This window comes from Homo sapiens, chromosome 14 (genome assembly GCF_000001405.40).
Source record: "Homo sapiens chromosome 14, GRCh38.p14 Primary Assembly".
Classification (NCBI taxonomy): Eukaryota; Metazoa; Chordata; class Mammalia; order Primates; family Hominidae; genus Homo; species Homo sapiens.
Window position 1 is genome coordinate 60,435,723 of NC_000014.9, and position 16,046 is coordinate 60,451,768.

Genomic DNA, 16,046 nt, shown 5'->3' on the forward strand with positions numbered 1-16,046 from the left:
GGGCAGGCCTCCTGAACTGAAAAATAGCTTGAGAAGTAGAGAAAGAAGACTGGCTTTGGGTTTTTATGGTAGTTAGGGGGTGGGCTGGGTGGGGGCTCCCATATGTGGTTTGAACTTCCTACTGGCACCAAAGGAGGGAGCAACCAGGCTTTCTGATCAGCTTGGCCAAATGTGGGCAGAATGAGAAAAGAAGGGGTTAGGTTTAAAAATCCATCAACAGTCACATCAAAATATGGAGTCAAACCCTTTATTACTTGGTAACTCAGTACAGCTAATTTACAAAGCACAAAATACAATGATATTGAGCAAAATGTTTACAGAAGTTCATCAAATCTTAAATATCTTCACTTAAGCTATATAATTAATTGACAAATACTGAACACAAAACATAAAGAAGAAATTTTTGTTATTGAAGGAGACAAAATTGTAAATGTTCTTCAAAAAATATTTAAGCAAAAAAGAATATTAACAGGATCACCACTGATACAACAATCCAATTTTCAGAAATTACTCTTGCCCTTTACATTTAATTTTTAGCCATTGAAAGCATTAGCATAACTCATAAAATTAGAATTGTACCATGTGTTATATTAGAAGAAAATAACACAGATTTTGTTATTAACATAAATTATTTGAAATTATTATTACAGTACCACTCTGTATACTACATAGTGAAGCAGAAGTGAAACCCAATAATTTTAATAGAAATTTTTAGTAGCTAAAGTACGCTTCAGCACTAACTCTGGAGTTACTACTGCAGTTCTTGTTCTTATCAAAGTACCAACAATACTTCCAGAAAAAAACCTTAGGTTCCAAGGAGAAGCAGGCTTAATATTTAAATAAAGAGTAATGAAAAAAGCATCAAATTCTATTAAGATTAATAAAAGTTCTACCTGACCACGGCTCGCAAAATCAAAACCAAAATAAATAATGATTAGTTAATAGCACACACAAAACCCAAAATATTCAGTATTTCAATATTTCAATAAATATAATCAAATAATGTAAACATTACTGCTTTAATCAATAAAAGAAAGCAGTCTTCATGTTTTAAGCAATAATGTAAATTTATGCCCTCATGAACACAGAACAGTAAAATAATTTAAGGAATTAATGACTAGCTCAAAAAAAAGTAAACTGTGTTGTATTTTGTGAGGAAGATGAAAAACCTTTTAAAGAAGAAGAAGGTATTGAATTTTGACCCTGTCCAAATGAAAATGGAAAACTAAAATCATCTTTTCCAGCTCCAAATGTATGAGTTGAAGTGTCTGATGGAAAAGAAAATGTAAAGCCATCTTCTCCTTCTGGCTTCTCAAGTAAGTTTCCTAAGGAAGATAAACATTACAATATCATGCTCTTCATATTATATAAAATTTTTATAACCTACTGAATTATAGCATACTGCATACAATAAATATGGTAACACTGAATCAGTGTTACACAGGAATACAGGTATTTAATTGTATTCCTCTTAAGTGCAAGGCATTGTCCTTGGTACTATGAAGGTTAAAACAGACTCAAACTTAAACCCTGTTTTCAAGTAATTTGAACTCTAGTATATAAAGAACTAGTATAAAAAGTAAAAAGTAGAATAAAACACCTCAAATGAAGAGACTGATACAGAGGCACAGAAACAGACATGCATAGGATGCATTAGAGTAACAGAAATCTATTCAGCTTAGCAGGAGCAGTGAGAAATAATAAAGATGTATTAAGTGGAAATTAATGAAGATGAGCTTGGAAAGATTGCTGAATATCCCACTATGGAATCTGGACTTTATTTAGTAGATAACAAGAATTCATTGAAGATTTTCAAGCAGAGATATGACATGATTTGAACTGCTTTGTAAGTATTACTCAGGAGAGAATAGGTATAAAGGCTGGAACAGGAGAGTCTAGAAGTGGGACTAACCAAAATAAAATAAAAGTCTATTGTCCAGTGAAGACATAATGAAATGTTGACCTTAGGTACAATCATAGTGATGGTAATGGAGGAAAAAATGCTGAATCTAAGAGATACTGTATAAGTTAAACTTATTCAACTATTATTTATTGAGTCACTACAATATACTGCTCATGGCATTGTTCAAGGAAACTGACAGAACATTAAAAAGAGTTCTAAAAGGAATTTTTAAAATAAGCTTTAAATGTAGCTCTGGTTGATGAAGCCCAGAATTGCCATTAAGGAAAAATACTGTTTTTCACTTATTATATTACTTATTAATAAAATTATAAATATACAAATATATTTTCAACATCCTAATTCTAATTTAAAATTAATTATCATTAAATAATTTTAAGTCTATAGTAATCAAATATGTACTTGAAACAAGTCTTTTTAAATATCTATTTTTATATAGAATTAATCAAATAGCATATTAAGCAAAATAATTTGCATCACTTTGAATGTTTCATAAATTTTTTAACTTTCATATATTTAATAACTTTATTTTTATTTTTAAACATCTCAATTATTTCACCCTAAATAGAACCAAGTCAACCAGCAGTAAGATGGGTGGATGGATGGATGGACAGACAGATGGATAGATGGACAGACTGACTACCAGATACTTGTGTTCTTCCCCTCTCCCTTTCTCACTTTATTTTTTTGACTATGTGTATTTCTCAGTACACAGCCATATGACTTAAAGAAAAATAGGTATAATGTAAACACGGATCCAAAAAGAGCTAAAATCTTGAATTTCCCTTTGAATAAATGAATTTGATTTTGTTTTTAATTTCACAAGAAGTTCATATGAAGTCTTCATAAAACTCATATGATCACTGTAAATAAAAGAACACATTACTGTGCAAGGCAGCATTATAGGTGCTATGGGGAATTCAAAGGTACATTTTAAAATCCTTGTCCTCAAAAAACCTGTGATCTAGAGGAGATTTTATATCTATTTATAAATAATGATGGTAGAATGGTAAAAAGTATAAAAAAGAAGAGATATTCAGAAAAGAGAGGGAGAGATCTTTTTGAAAAAGAAGATTGAGGGGATAAATAAAAGGTTTTATGGAAGAGAATTCTATCTCGAAAGATAGAAAGAGATAGAAGTTGGGGATTGCAAGAAGTAAAAAGCAGGTAAGAAAGTGTGGGCATACTTGAGACACACTGAGTTCCAGAGTCTGGCCAAAGCACAGGTTACCCTTATAAGATAAAAGCCTTAAAAGGTATGTTGGGGGATGAATAGAGACTGGTTAATGAGTATAAAAATACAGTTAGACAGAAGGAATAAGTTCTAGTACGGAATTTAAGAATAAGTTCTAGAGTAGTAGTATGGTTTACAAGAATTTATAGTGTATTTTGACATAGCTAGAAAAGAAGATTTGGAATATTCCCCACACAAAGAAATGATAAACGTCTGAGGTGATGGATATTCCAATTACCCTGATTTGATCATTACACATTGTATGCAGGTATCAAAATATCACATGGACCCCATAAATATGTACAACTATATACCAATAAAAAATGAAACAGGTAGTTGGAGCTAAATTAGAAAAGTAGAAGCATAATTTGATAGTCAGTGGGGGAGTCACTGAAGGTAACTGATTAGGGCAGTGACATGGCCAACATTATGGGCACTGAAGATTAATTAAGCTGTGATCTATAGGTAAGCTGAAAAATGGAAAACACCAATTAGGATGATATTGTAACAGTCCAGGTGAACAGTAAGACTGAAATATAATGGTTTCAATGAAAATAGAAAATAAAAATAAATATTTAAGAGAGAGAACTGATAAAACTTAATGACTAGTTGAATGTAGTCACAGTCACAGAGAGAAGTTAAAATTGTTACCATGCTCCAAACCTTAAAAGCCAGAATAATGGAGATACCATCAGGGACGTCAGAAGGAGAGCAAGTTTCATTTCAGCTACACTGAGTTTTTAATGTCAAAAGATGTCTAAAGAGATTTAAACTGTACAATCAGAAATAAGGTCCTAGAGTTTAGAAGTCAGTGCAGCAAGATATAAATTTGTTCATTATCTGTATGTATTATATTTGAAAACACTGAAGTGAATGAGTGTCAAATGAATGAGAATGTCAAAAAAGAGGATGTGGGCTGGGTACGGTGGCTCACGCCTGTGATCCCAGCACTTTGGGAGGCCGAGGCGGGTGGATCACCTGAGGTCAGGAATTTGAGACCAGCCTGGCCAACATAGTGAGACCCCGTCTCTACTAAAAATACAAAAAATTAGCTGGGCATGGTGCTGGGCGCCTGTAATCCCAGCTACTCGGGAGGCTGAGGCAGGAGAATTGCTTGAACCCAGGAGGCGGAGGTTGCCGTGAGCCGAGATAGTGCTATTGCACTCCAGCCTGGGCAACAAGAGCGAAACTCTGTCTCAAAAAAAAAGAGGATGTAAATAGATTTAAATTTTTAGATGGCAGACATTTAATAAATACAATTGGTAGATTCATTCTGATCTCATAGCATTAAATACCATTTATAAAAATTCCAAAATCTGTGTCTCCATCTCATTGAATTCGAAATTCATATGTACAATTTCCTACTTTACTTTCACTTACGTATCTAATAAATAGGCTTTTCAATTAAAACACTTCCTAAATGAAACCCCTGTCTCCTCAATCTCAAATTACGCTTAGAGCCTTCCATATTTCTATAAATGGCAACTCCATTCCAAGTTATTCATGTCAAAACCATGGCACAATCTTTGTTTCTCTCTCTCAATCCTTATATCCAGTCCATAAGCAAATTCTTCCAGCTCTATCTTCAGAAAACTTTGTAACCAAAATCTGACATGTTCTCACCACTTCTACTACTACTACTCATCAATTCTCACTTTGTATCATTTTATAGCTTCCTGACCTTTCCCTGCTTTTGCCCTTGTTTCCATACAGTCTGTTCTCCACATAGCAGCCAGAATAATTCTTTTAAAACCTGTCAGATCATTTCAGTCCTTTACTTAAAACCTTCCAGAGGTTTCCCATTTCACTCAGAAAAAAAACCCTAAGTCCTTAATGATCTACAGGTCCCACATGATTTGCTCTCCATCCACCTCTTGGATTTAATCTCCCACCAGTCTCTCCTTCCTTATTCCATAAATCATACCAATTTAACTAATTTTCAACGAACATACTGAGTATGTTCCCATTTCAAGACCTTTTTGCCCTTTGCTTGGAACACTTTTCCCAGTAGCTTGTATATGCACCTCCTTCTGCTCAATGTTGACTTTTAGTGATGCCTTTCCTGACTCCTTGCAATACGGCAATCACCTTCCCAATCCAAGTATTCCCTATTTCCCTTACTCTACATTACTTTGCTGCATAGTATTTATCACCAACAATAAGTAAAAAATTAACATCAAGCCTGGGAAGATTCGGGCCCACCTGGAAAATGACCTTGGAGCCTGACTTCCCACAGCACTGTTTTCACAGAATTAAGGTAAACACAGAATGTTTTATCTATCTAGTCTGCTGTGTGAGACTGCACCTGAATTAGAGGAGCTATGAGTTAGCATACAGGCCTTGGGCCTCATGACTAGAATAATATAAAAGACTGGTGTGAAATTGAAGTTACAGCTCTTGTGTTTCAAGGTGACCTACATGCAACATGCCTTTTGTCCATAGCAGCCTGACATGTTCCTTGGGTGGCAGTGGCAAAAGAAGGTGTATTACTTGGGTAGTTGGTGATCCTCTCAATGAAACAAGGATGCTGTACCTACCATTATCTCTTATCTTGTATCATTCTACAACATAAAGGTAATATTAGATTTAAAATCATAATATGTGAGTCTGACTATTCAAGCCCATAACAACTGTTGTTTAGTGTACTATCTGATAAATTATACATTGATTTATTTGACTATTTTCAGTTTATCCCACTGGAACATAAACCATATGAGAATTTTTCATTCTTGTCCACTGTCACCACAGCCCAAAAGCATACCTGATATAAAATATAATACACGTACATATTTATATTAATATGTTGAATGAATTAATCAATCAAAGGAAAAATGAAGAAAGAATATCCAATAAAAAGTATCAAAGAGAGAAAAGGAAATCCAAAAATTACAGAAAAAAGATGGAAATAACCAATTATATCAGATGTTGCAAAGAGTCTTAATATGATAATAAATACAAGATACCCATAATGTTTGATAATTGGGAGGTCAATAACCTTGGAGAAAGTAAGTTTTAATAGAGTAGTGAGAAAAGCTAATTGCTTGAAAAAGAAAGAAAAGAATATCAGTGAGTAGTGCAGAAGTAACAGTAATTTCTAAAGAATAAATTGAGCACCTAAGAAAATAAGTTAGAGAAACTAAATACTGTACTAATGAGTTAACATGTTTTTAAAGGTAGCAAACTTCAAACAACTTACCAATCTCTTGCTCTGATGACAGAGGATTTAGATTTCTTGCAGAATAATGTTCATTAAACTGGAAAATAATTTCCATTAAATATTACTTGTGAAATCAGTAGGACAGTATATATAGTACATATATTTGAATCTAAAGCTTAGTTCTTCTAACACACAGAATTAAAGTAGACATATGGTACCTTTATATAGCACACTCTTATACTTAAAAAGATCTATCTTCAAAACCTGTCATTTACTTATATTAAAATAAGGTCTATTGATTTGATTCAGGCAAAATACACTGTACTAAAGATAGCTCTTACTTTAGAATCTTAATATGATATTTTGCTTTATTCTGAAAGCTTTTAACAAATCAGGTTGTTGGTATTTTTTTTGCCTATAAAAGTAACAGGAAGTGGATAGCTTCATGTCAGTTGAGATCAAGTTTTGCTGCCAAAAGTCTATTTTATCAGTAAAACAGGCTTTTAAAAAAAATGAGATCATGACAGCATAGTTTTCTGTGCACCTTTTTCCTCTTCACATTGCATTGTGAGCATTTGTCCATGTCATTATTCTTCTAAAATCTGACTCTTTCCATGGCTCTATAATATTCCTCCACATAGACAAACCAGACAGTTTCAACCATCCTTTAATACTGGACATGTAAGTTGTCCCAACTTTGTTTTTTATATAGAAGTCACATGTGAATAAACACTGTTATGCACAGATTTATGTTTCTTTGACAATTAATAAGGAAAGCTGTTTTCTCATAGATTTTATAAGCCACTTGAATTTCTTTTTCAGTGAATTATCTCTTTGTCAAATGGACTTTGCTCATTTTTCTATTGAGAAAGTAATTTTTTCCTTATTGGTACATATAAGCACTTTATAGTCTAGAGACGTTAATTAACTATTTGCAATCTTATTGCAAATATTTTACATCTTCGTCATTTTGCCCTTAAGATTTTTTAACATATAGAAGTTTAGATTTTGGGGTCGCTTCCAAGATGGCCAAATAGGAAGAGCTCTGGTCTGCAGCTCCCAGCGAGATCTACACAGAAGACAGGTGATCTCTGCATTTCCAACTGAGGTACCTGGTTCATCTCAATGGGACTGGTTGGACAGTGGGTGCAGCCCACAGAGGGTGAGCTGCAGCAGGGCAGGGCGTCCCCTCACCCGTGAAGTGCATGGGGTTGGGGGATTTCCCTTTCCTAGCCAAGGGAAGCTGTGACAGACTGTACCTGGAAAAACAGTACACTCCCGCCCAAATACTGCACTTTGTCCAAGGTCTTAGCAACCAGCAGACCAGGAGATTCCCTCCCGTGCCTGGCTCGGTGAGTGCCATGCCCAAGGAGCCTTGCTCACTGCTAGCATAGCAGTCTGAGATTGACCTGTGAGGCTGCAGCCTGGCAGGGGGAGGGGTGTCTGCCATTGCTGAGGCTTGAGTAGGTAAACAAAGCAGCCAGGAAGCTTGAACTGGGGGAGCCCACCACAGCTCAGCAAGGCCTACTGCCTCTATAGACTCAAACTCTGTGAGCAGGGCACAGCTGAACAAAAGGCAATAGAAAACTTCTGCAGACCTAAATGTCCCTGTCTGACAGCTCTGAAGAGAGCAGTGGTTCTCCCAGTATGGCATTCAAGCTCAGAGAATGGACAGACTGCCTCCTCAAGTGGGTCCCTGACTCCCATGTAGCCTGACTGGGAGACATCTCCCAGTAGAGGCTGACAGACACCTCAAACAGGTAGGTGACCCTATGGGACAAAGATTCCAGAAGAAGGATCAGGCAGCAATATTTGCTGTTCTGCAATATTTACTGTTCTGCAGCCTCCACTGGTGATACACAGGCAAACAGGGTCTGGAGTGGATCTCCAGCAAACTACAACAGACCTGCAGCTGAGGGGCCTGACTGTTAGAAGGAAAACTAACAAACAGAAAGGAATAGCATCAACATCAACAAAAAGGACATCCACACCAAAACCCCATCTGTAGGTTACCAACATAAAAGACCAAAGGTAGATAAAACCACAAAGATGGGGAGAAACCAGAGCAGAAAAGCTGAAAATTCAAAAAACCAGAGTGCCTCTTCTCCTCAAAAGGATTGCTGCTCCTTGCCAGCAATGGAACAAAACTGGACAGAAAATGACTTTGACGAGTTGATGGATGCAGGCTTCAGAAGGTCGGTAATAACAAACTTCTACGAGCTAAAGGAGCATGTTCTAACCCATCACAAAGAAGCTAAAAACCTTGAAAAAAGGTTAGACGAATGGCTAACTAGAATAAACAGCGTAGAGAAGACTTTAAATGGCCTGATGGAGCTGAAAACCATGGCACAAGAACTTCAGGACACATACAAAAGCTTCAATAGCCGATTCGATTAAGTGGAAGAAAGGATATCAGTGATTGAAGATCAAATTAATGAAATAAAGCAAGAAGACAAGATTAGAGAAAAAAGAGTAAAAAGAAACAAACGAAGCCTCCAAGAAATATGGGAATATGTGAAAAGACCAAATATACGTTTGATTGGTGTACCTGAAAGTGACGGGGAGAATGGAACCAAGTTAGAAAACACTCTTCAGGATATTATCCAGGAGAACTTCCCTAATCTAGCAAGGCAGGCCAACATTCAAATTCAGGAAATGCAGATAACACCACAAAGATACTCCTCGAAAAGAGCAACCCCAAGACACATAATTGTCAGATTCACCAAGATTGAAATGAAGGAAACAATGTTAAGGGCAGCCAGAGAGAAAGGTCGGGTTACCCACAAAGGGAATCCCATCAGACCCACAATCCCATCAGACTAACAGCAGATCTCTCAGCAGAAACCCTACAAGCCAGAAGAGAGTGGGGGCCAATATTCAACATTCTTAAAGAAAAGAATTTTCAAGCCAGAATCTCATATCCAGCCAAACTAACCTTCATAAGTGAAGGAGAAATAAAATACTTTACAGACAAGCAAATGCTGAGAGATTTTTGTCACCACCAGGCCTGCCTTACAAGAGCTCCTGAAGGGAACACTAAACTTGGAAAGGAACAACCAGTACCAGCCACTGCAAAAACATGCCAAATTGTAAAGACCATTGATGCTATGAAGAAACTACATCAATTAACGGGCAAAATAACCAGCTAACATCATGACAGGATCAAATTCAAACATAACAATATTAACCTTAAATGCAAATGGGCTAAATGCCCCAATAAAAAGACACAGACTGGAAAATTGGATAAAGAGTCAAGACCCATCACTGTGCTGTATTCAGGAGACCCATCTTACATGCAGAGACACACATAGGCTCAAAACAAAGAGATGGAGGAAGATATACCAAGCAAACTGAAAGGAAAAAAACCAGGAGTTGCAATCCTAGTCTCTGATAAAACAGACTTTAAACCAACAAAGATCAAAAGAGATAATGAAGGCTATTACAAAATGATAAAGGGATCAATTCAACAAGAAGAGCTAACTATCCTAAATATATATGAACCCAATACAGGAGCACCCAGATTCATAAAGCAAGTCATTAGAGAGCTACAAAGAGACTTAGACTCCCACATAATAATGGGAGACGTTAACACAACACTGTCAATATTAGACAGATCAACAAGACAGAAAGTTAACAAGGATATCCAGGACTTGAACTCAGCTCTGCACCAAATGGGCCTAATAGACATCTACAGTACTCTCCAACCCAAATCAACAGAATATACATTCTTCTCAGCACCACATTGCACTTATTCTAAAATCGACCACATAATTGGAAGTAAAACACTCCTCAGCAAATGTAAAAGGACATAAATCACAACAAACTGTCTCTCAGACCACAGTGCAATCAAATTAGAACTCAGGATTAAGAAACTCACTCAAACCCCCACAACTACATGGAAACTGAACAACATGCTCCTGAATGACTACTGGATAAATAACAAAATGAAGGGAGAAATAAAGACGTTCTTTGAAACCAATGAGAACAAAGACAAAACGTACCAGAATCTCTGGGACACGTTTAAAGCAGTGTGTAGAGGGAAATTTATAGTACTAAAAACTCCCAAGAGAAAGCAGGAAAGATCTAAAATCGACACCCTAACATCAAAATTAAAAGAGCTAGAGGAGCAAGAGCAAAGAAATTCAAAAGCTAGCAGAAGGCAAGAAATAACTAAGATCAGAGCAGAACTGAAGAGCTAGAGACACAAAAAACCCTTCAACAAATCAATGAATCCAGCATTGGATTCAACAAAATTGATAGACTGCTAGCAAGACTAGTAAACAAGAAAAGAGAGAAGAATCAAATAGATGCAATAAAAAATGTTAAGGGGATATCACCACTGATCCCACAGAAATACAAAGTACCATCAGAGAATACTAAAAACACCTCTATGCAAATAAACTAGAAAATTTAGAAGAAATGCTTAAATTCCTGGACATATACACCCTCCAAAGACTAAACCAGGAAGAAGTTGAATCTCTGAATAGACGAATGACAGATTCTGAAATTGAGGCAATAATTAATAGCCTACCAACCAAAAAAAGTCCAGGACCAGACGGAATCACAACCAAATTCTACCACAGGTACAAAGAGGAGCTGACACCATTCCTTCTGAAACTATTCCAATCAATAGAATAAAAGGGAATCCCCCATAACTCATTTTATGAGGCCAGCATCATCTTGATACCAAAGCCTGGCAGAGACACAACAAAAAAAGAGAATTTTAGACCAATATCCCTGATGAACATCAATGTGAAAATCCTCAATAAAATACTGGCAAATCCAATACAGCAGCACATCAAAAAGTTTATCCACCACAATAAAGTTGGCTTCATCCCTAGGATGCAAGGCTGGCTCAACATATGCAAATCAATACACGTGATCCATCACATAAACAGAACCAATGACAAAAACCACACGATTATCTCAATAGATGCAGAAAAGGCCTTTGACAAAATTCAACACCCCTTCAAGCTAAAAACTCTCAATAAACTAGGTATTGATGGAACGTATCTCAAAATAATAAGAGCTATCTATGACAAACCCACAGCCAATATCATACTGAATGGGCAAAAACTGGAAGCATTCCCTTTGAAAACGGGCACAAGACAAGGATGCCCTCTCACACCACTCCTGTTCAATATAGTGTTGGAAGTTCTGGCCAGGGCAATCAGGCAAGAGAAAGAAATAAAGGGTATTCGAATAGGAAAAGAGGAAGTCAAATTATCTCTGTTTGCAGATGACATGATTGTATATTTAGAAAAGCCCATCATCTCAGCCCAAAATCTCCTTAAGCTGATAAGCAACTTCAGCAGTCTCAGGATACAAAATCAATGTGCAAAAATCACAAGCATTCCTATACACCAATAACAGACAGAGAGCCAAATCATGAGTGAACTCCCATTCACAAATGCTTCAAAGAGAATAAAATACCAGAAATACAACTTACAAGGCATGTGAAGGACCTCTTCAAGGAGAACTACAAACCACTGCTCAATGAAATAAAAGAGGACACAAACAAATGGAAGAACATTCCATGCTCATGGATAGAAAGACTCAATATCGTGAAAATGGCCATACTGCCCAAGATAATTTATAGATCCAATGCTATCCCCATCAAGCTACCAAAGACTTTCTTCATAGAATTGGAAAAAACTACTTTAAAGTTCATATGGAACCCAAAAAAAGCCCGCATAGCCAAGACAATCTTAAGCAAAAAGACCAAAGCTGGAGGCATCACACTACCTGACTTCAAACTATACTACAAGTCTATAGTAACCAAAACAGCTTGGTACTGGTACCAAAACAGACATATAGACCAATGAAACAGAACAGAGGCCTCAGAAATAACACCACACATGTACAACCATCTGATCTTTGACAAACCTGACAAAAACAGCAACGGGGAAAGGATTCCCTATTTAATAAATGGTGCTGGGAAAACTGGCTAGCCATATGTAGAAAGCTGAAACTGGATCCCTTCCTTACATCTTATACAAAAATTAACTCAAGATGGATTAAAGACTTAAATGTAAGACCTAAAACCATAAAAACCCTAGAAGAAAACCTAGGCAATACCATTCAGGACACAGGCATGGCCGAGGACTTCATGACCAAAACACCAAAAGCAATGGCAACAAAAGCCAAAATAGACAAATGGAATCTAATTAAAATAAAGAGCTTGTGCACAGCAAAAGAAACTATCATCAGAGTGAACAGGCAACCTACAGAATGGGAGAAAATTTTTGCAATCTACCCATCTGACAACGGGCTAATATCCAGAATCTACAAAGAACTTAAACAAATTTATAAGAAAAAAAATAAAAAAGTGGGCAAAGGATATGAAGACACTTCTCAAAAGCAGACATTTATGCAGCCAACAGACACATGAAAAAATGCTCATCATCACTGGTCATTAGAGAAATGCAAATCAAAACCACAATGAGATACTATCTCATGCTAGTTAGAATGGCAATTATTAAAAAGTCAGGAAACAACAGATGCTGGAGAGGATATGGAGAAATAGGAACACTTTTACAGTGTTCGTGGGAGTGTAAATTAGTTCTACCATTATGGAAGATAGTGTGGCAATTCCTCAAGGATCTAGAACTAGAAATACCGTTTGACCCAGCAATCCCATTACTGGGTATATACCCAAAGGATTATAAATCATGCTGCTATAAAGACACATGCACACGTATGTTTTTTGTGGCACTATTCACAATAGCAAAGACTTGGAACCAACCCAAATGTCCATCAACATCAATGATAGAATGGATTAAGAAAATGTGGCACATATACACCATGGAATACTATGCAGCCATAAAAAGGACGAGTTCATGTTCTTTGCAGGGACATGGATGCAGCTGGAAACCATCATTCTCAGCAAACTATCACAAGGACAGAAAACCAAACACCGCATGTTCTCACTCATAGGTGGAAACTGAACAATGAGAACACATGGACACGGGGTGGGGAACATTACATACTGGGGCCTGTCAGGGAGTAGGGGGCTGGGGGAGGGATAGCATTAGGAGAAATACCCAATGTAGATGACAAGTTGATTGGTGCAGCAAACCAACATGGCACATGTATACCTATGTAACAAACCTGCATGTTGTGCACATTACCCTAGAACTTAAAGCATAATTTAAAAAAAGAAGTTTAGATTTTGTATGTAATCAAACCCAATTATTTTCTTTTGCTTCTTCTTCCACCGTTTTCATGCTTAGAGAATCCTTCCTCCTAAGATTTGGTAAATATTCACCTATATTTCTTCAGAAATATATTGTTAACATTTTCTTATATAATTTAATGCATCTGTAACTTCTATTGACGTACAGTGTAAGATGAATGCGTAATTTACTCCTATTAATTTGTAGTCTATCATTATCACATTATAAAATCTTTGGTTTCAAGATTTTCTAGCCCATACCATTGATCAATCAGTCCTTAAAACCGTTATCATGCCCTTTATTACTCTAACCTTATAGGATGTTTGAATATTTAGAAAGTAAGTTTCCCTCACCAATCTGTTTCATAATATTTAGGATTTATAATTACATCCTCTCTTTCATTCCTAATATAAGGATTTTGTCAATTTTGTCAATTATTTTCAAATAATCAACTTTGACTTTGTTAATTTCCTCTATTGTTTGTTTTTCCATTTCACTGATTTCTCTTATTTTGTTTCTTCATTTTACTTCAGGTTTGCTTAGTTCTTCTTTCTCTAGATTCTCAAAATGAAATCTTAGGTCACTGATTTTAGGCCTTTCTTCTTTTTATTATGTAATTATTAGCTAAATTATTTAAAGCTATTTTTTGCTCTGGCTTTTGCAACATCCCATAATTTTTGATAGGCTGGATTTTCCTAATGCAGTTTAAAATCCTTCCTAAAAGGGAATCCACTGCCTTGAAGGGAAGGACCCAGTCCTGGCAGAATTAATCACCCACTGACTAAAGAGCCCTTGGGCCCTGAATAACCAGGAGTGATACTCAGGTAGTATGCTGTGGGCCTTGGGCTCTGAGAGGTGCTGGCTTCAGTTGTGACCCAGCACATTCCCAGCTATGGTGGCTATGGTAAAAGACCCCATCTGTTTAAGAAAAGCAGAGGAAAAAGTAAAGGGCATTTTATCTTGCACACTAGGTACCAGCTCAGCCACAGTGGAGTAGAACAAGCATGATCTTGGGGTCCCTGAGTTCAGGCCTAGGCTCTTGGACAGCATTTCTGGACCTTCCCTGGGCCAGAGGGGAGCCCACTACCCTGAAGGGTGAGATCCCATGCCTGGCATCATTCACTGAAGAGCCACTGGGCTTCGAGTGGATATCAGCAGTGTCCTGGCAGACCCCCACCATGAGCTGATGGTCGTGGGGGCCACAGGGAGAGGCTCCTCTGCCTGTGGAAAGGGAGGGAAGAGCAGGAAGGACTTTGTATTGTGGTTTGAGTGCCAGCTTAGCCACAGTAGAGTAGAACATTGGGCAAATTACTAAGGTTTTTGACTCCAATCCCAAAATCCTAGACAGCATCTCTAGACCTGCCTAGGGCCAGGGGAACTAGCCACCTGAAGGGATGGACACAAATCTGGCTGGCTTCACCACCTGCTGATCACAGAGCTTTAGGGCCTTCAGTGAACACAGCGGGTAGCCAGGTAGTGGTTACAGAAGGCCTTAGCCAAGACCCAATGCTATGCTGGCTTCAGGAATGGCCCAGTGCAGTCCTAGTCGAGATGGCCACACCTCCCCCCACTCCAGGCAGCTCAGCACAGAGAGAGAGGCTCCATTTGTTTGGGAGAAATCAAGGGAAAATAACAAGTCTCTGCCTGGTAATCTAGAGAATCCTTCCAGATCTTATCCAAGACCACCAAGGCTGTACCTCTCTGAGTCTGCAAACAGCACAGCGTTATTGGGCTTGGAGCCCAAGTCCCTTTGAATACTTGGAAAGCCTCCTCAAGAAAGACAGGCACTACAAGCCCAGACTGTGAAGACTACAGTAAATACCTAATTCTTCAATGCCTAGACACCAACAACAACTACAAGCATCAAGATCATCCAGGAAAACATGAACTCACCAAATGAACTAGAAAAATCACCAGGGACCAGTCCTGGTGATTTCTAACACCAGTCAGAAAGGCAATCATTAAAAAATCAGGAAACAACAGGTGCTGGAGAGGATGTGGAGAAATAGGAACACTTTTACATTGTTGGTGGGACTGTAAACTAGTTCAACCATTGTGGAAGTCAGTGTGGTGATTCCTCAAGGATCTAGAACTAGAAATACCATTTGACCCAGCAATCCCATTACTGGGTATATACCCAAAGGATTATAAATCATGCTACTATAAAGACACATGCACACGTATGTTTATTGCGGCACTATTCACAATAGCAAAGACTTGGAACCAACCCAAATTCCATCAATTATAGACTGAATTAAGAAAATGTGGCACATATACATCATGGAATACTATGCAGCCATAAAAAGGATGAGTTCATGTCCTTTATAGGGACATGGATGAAGCTGGAAACCATCATTCTGAGCAAACTATCACAAGGACAGAAAACTAAACACCGCATGTTCTCACTCATAGGTGGGAATTGAACAATGAGAACTCTTGGACACAGGATGGTGAACATCACACACCAGGGCCCGTCATGGGGTAGGGGGTGGGGGGAGGGATAGCATTAGGAGATATACCTAATGTAAATGACGAGTTAATGGGTGCAGCACACCAACA

At 37.5% G+C, this 16,046-nt stretch overlaps 1 protein-coding gene across 13 annotated transcripts in view; it reads right to left on the bottom strand.

Moving 5' to 3' along the window:
- Window positions 1–233: 233 nt before the first annotated feature.
- Window positions 234–16,046, bottom strand: part of C14orf39 (chromosome 14 open reading frame 39) — a 79,589-nt gene continuing 63,776 nt past the window's right edge. For all 13 annotated transcript variants that reach the window (XM_047431324.1, XM_017021250.3, XM_017021248.3 and 10 more), the window contains 2 exons: window positions 6,352–6,409; window positions 234–1,325 (listed from right to left, as the gene is read on the bottom strand). In XM_047431324.1, coding sequence (XP_047287280.1) covers window positions 1,123–1,325; window positions 6,352–6,409 — 261 coding nt within the window. In that variant the 3' untranslated portion in view covers window positions 234–1,122. The remainder of the gene's footprint in view (window positions 1,326–6,351; window positions 6,410–16,046) is intronic.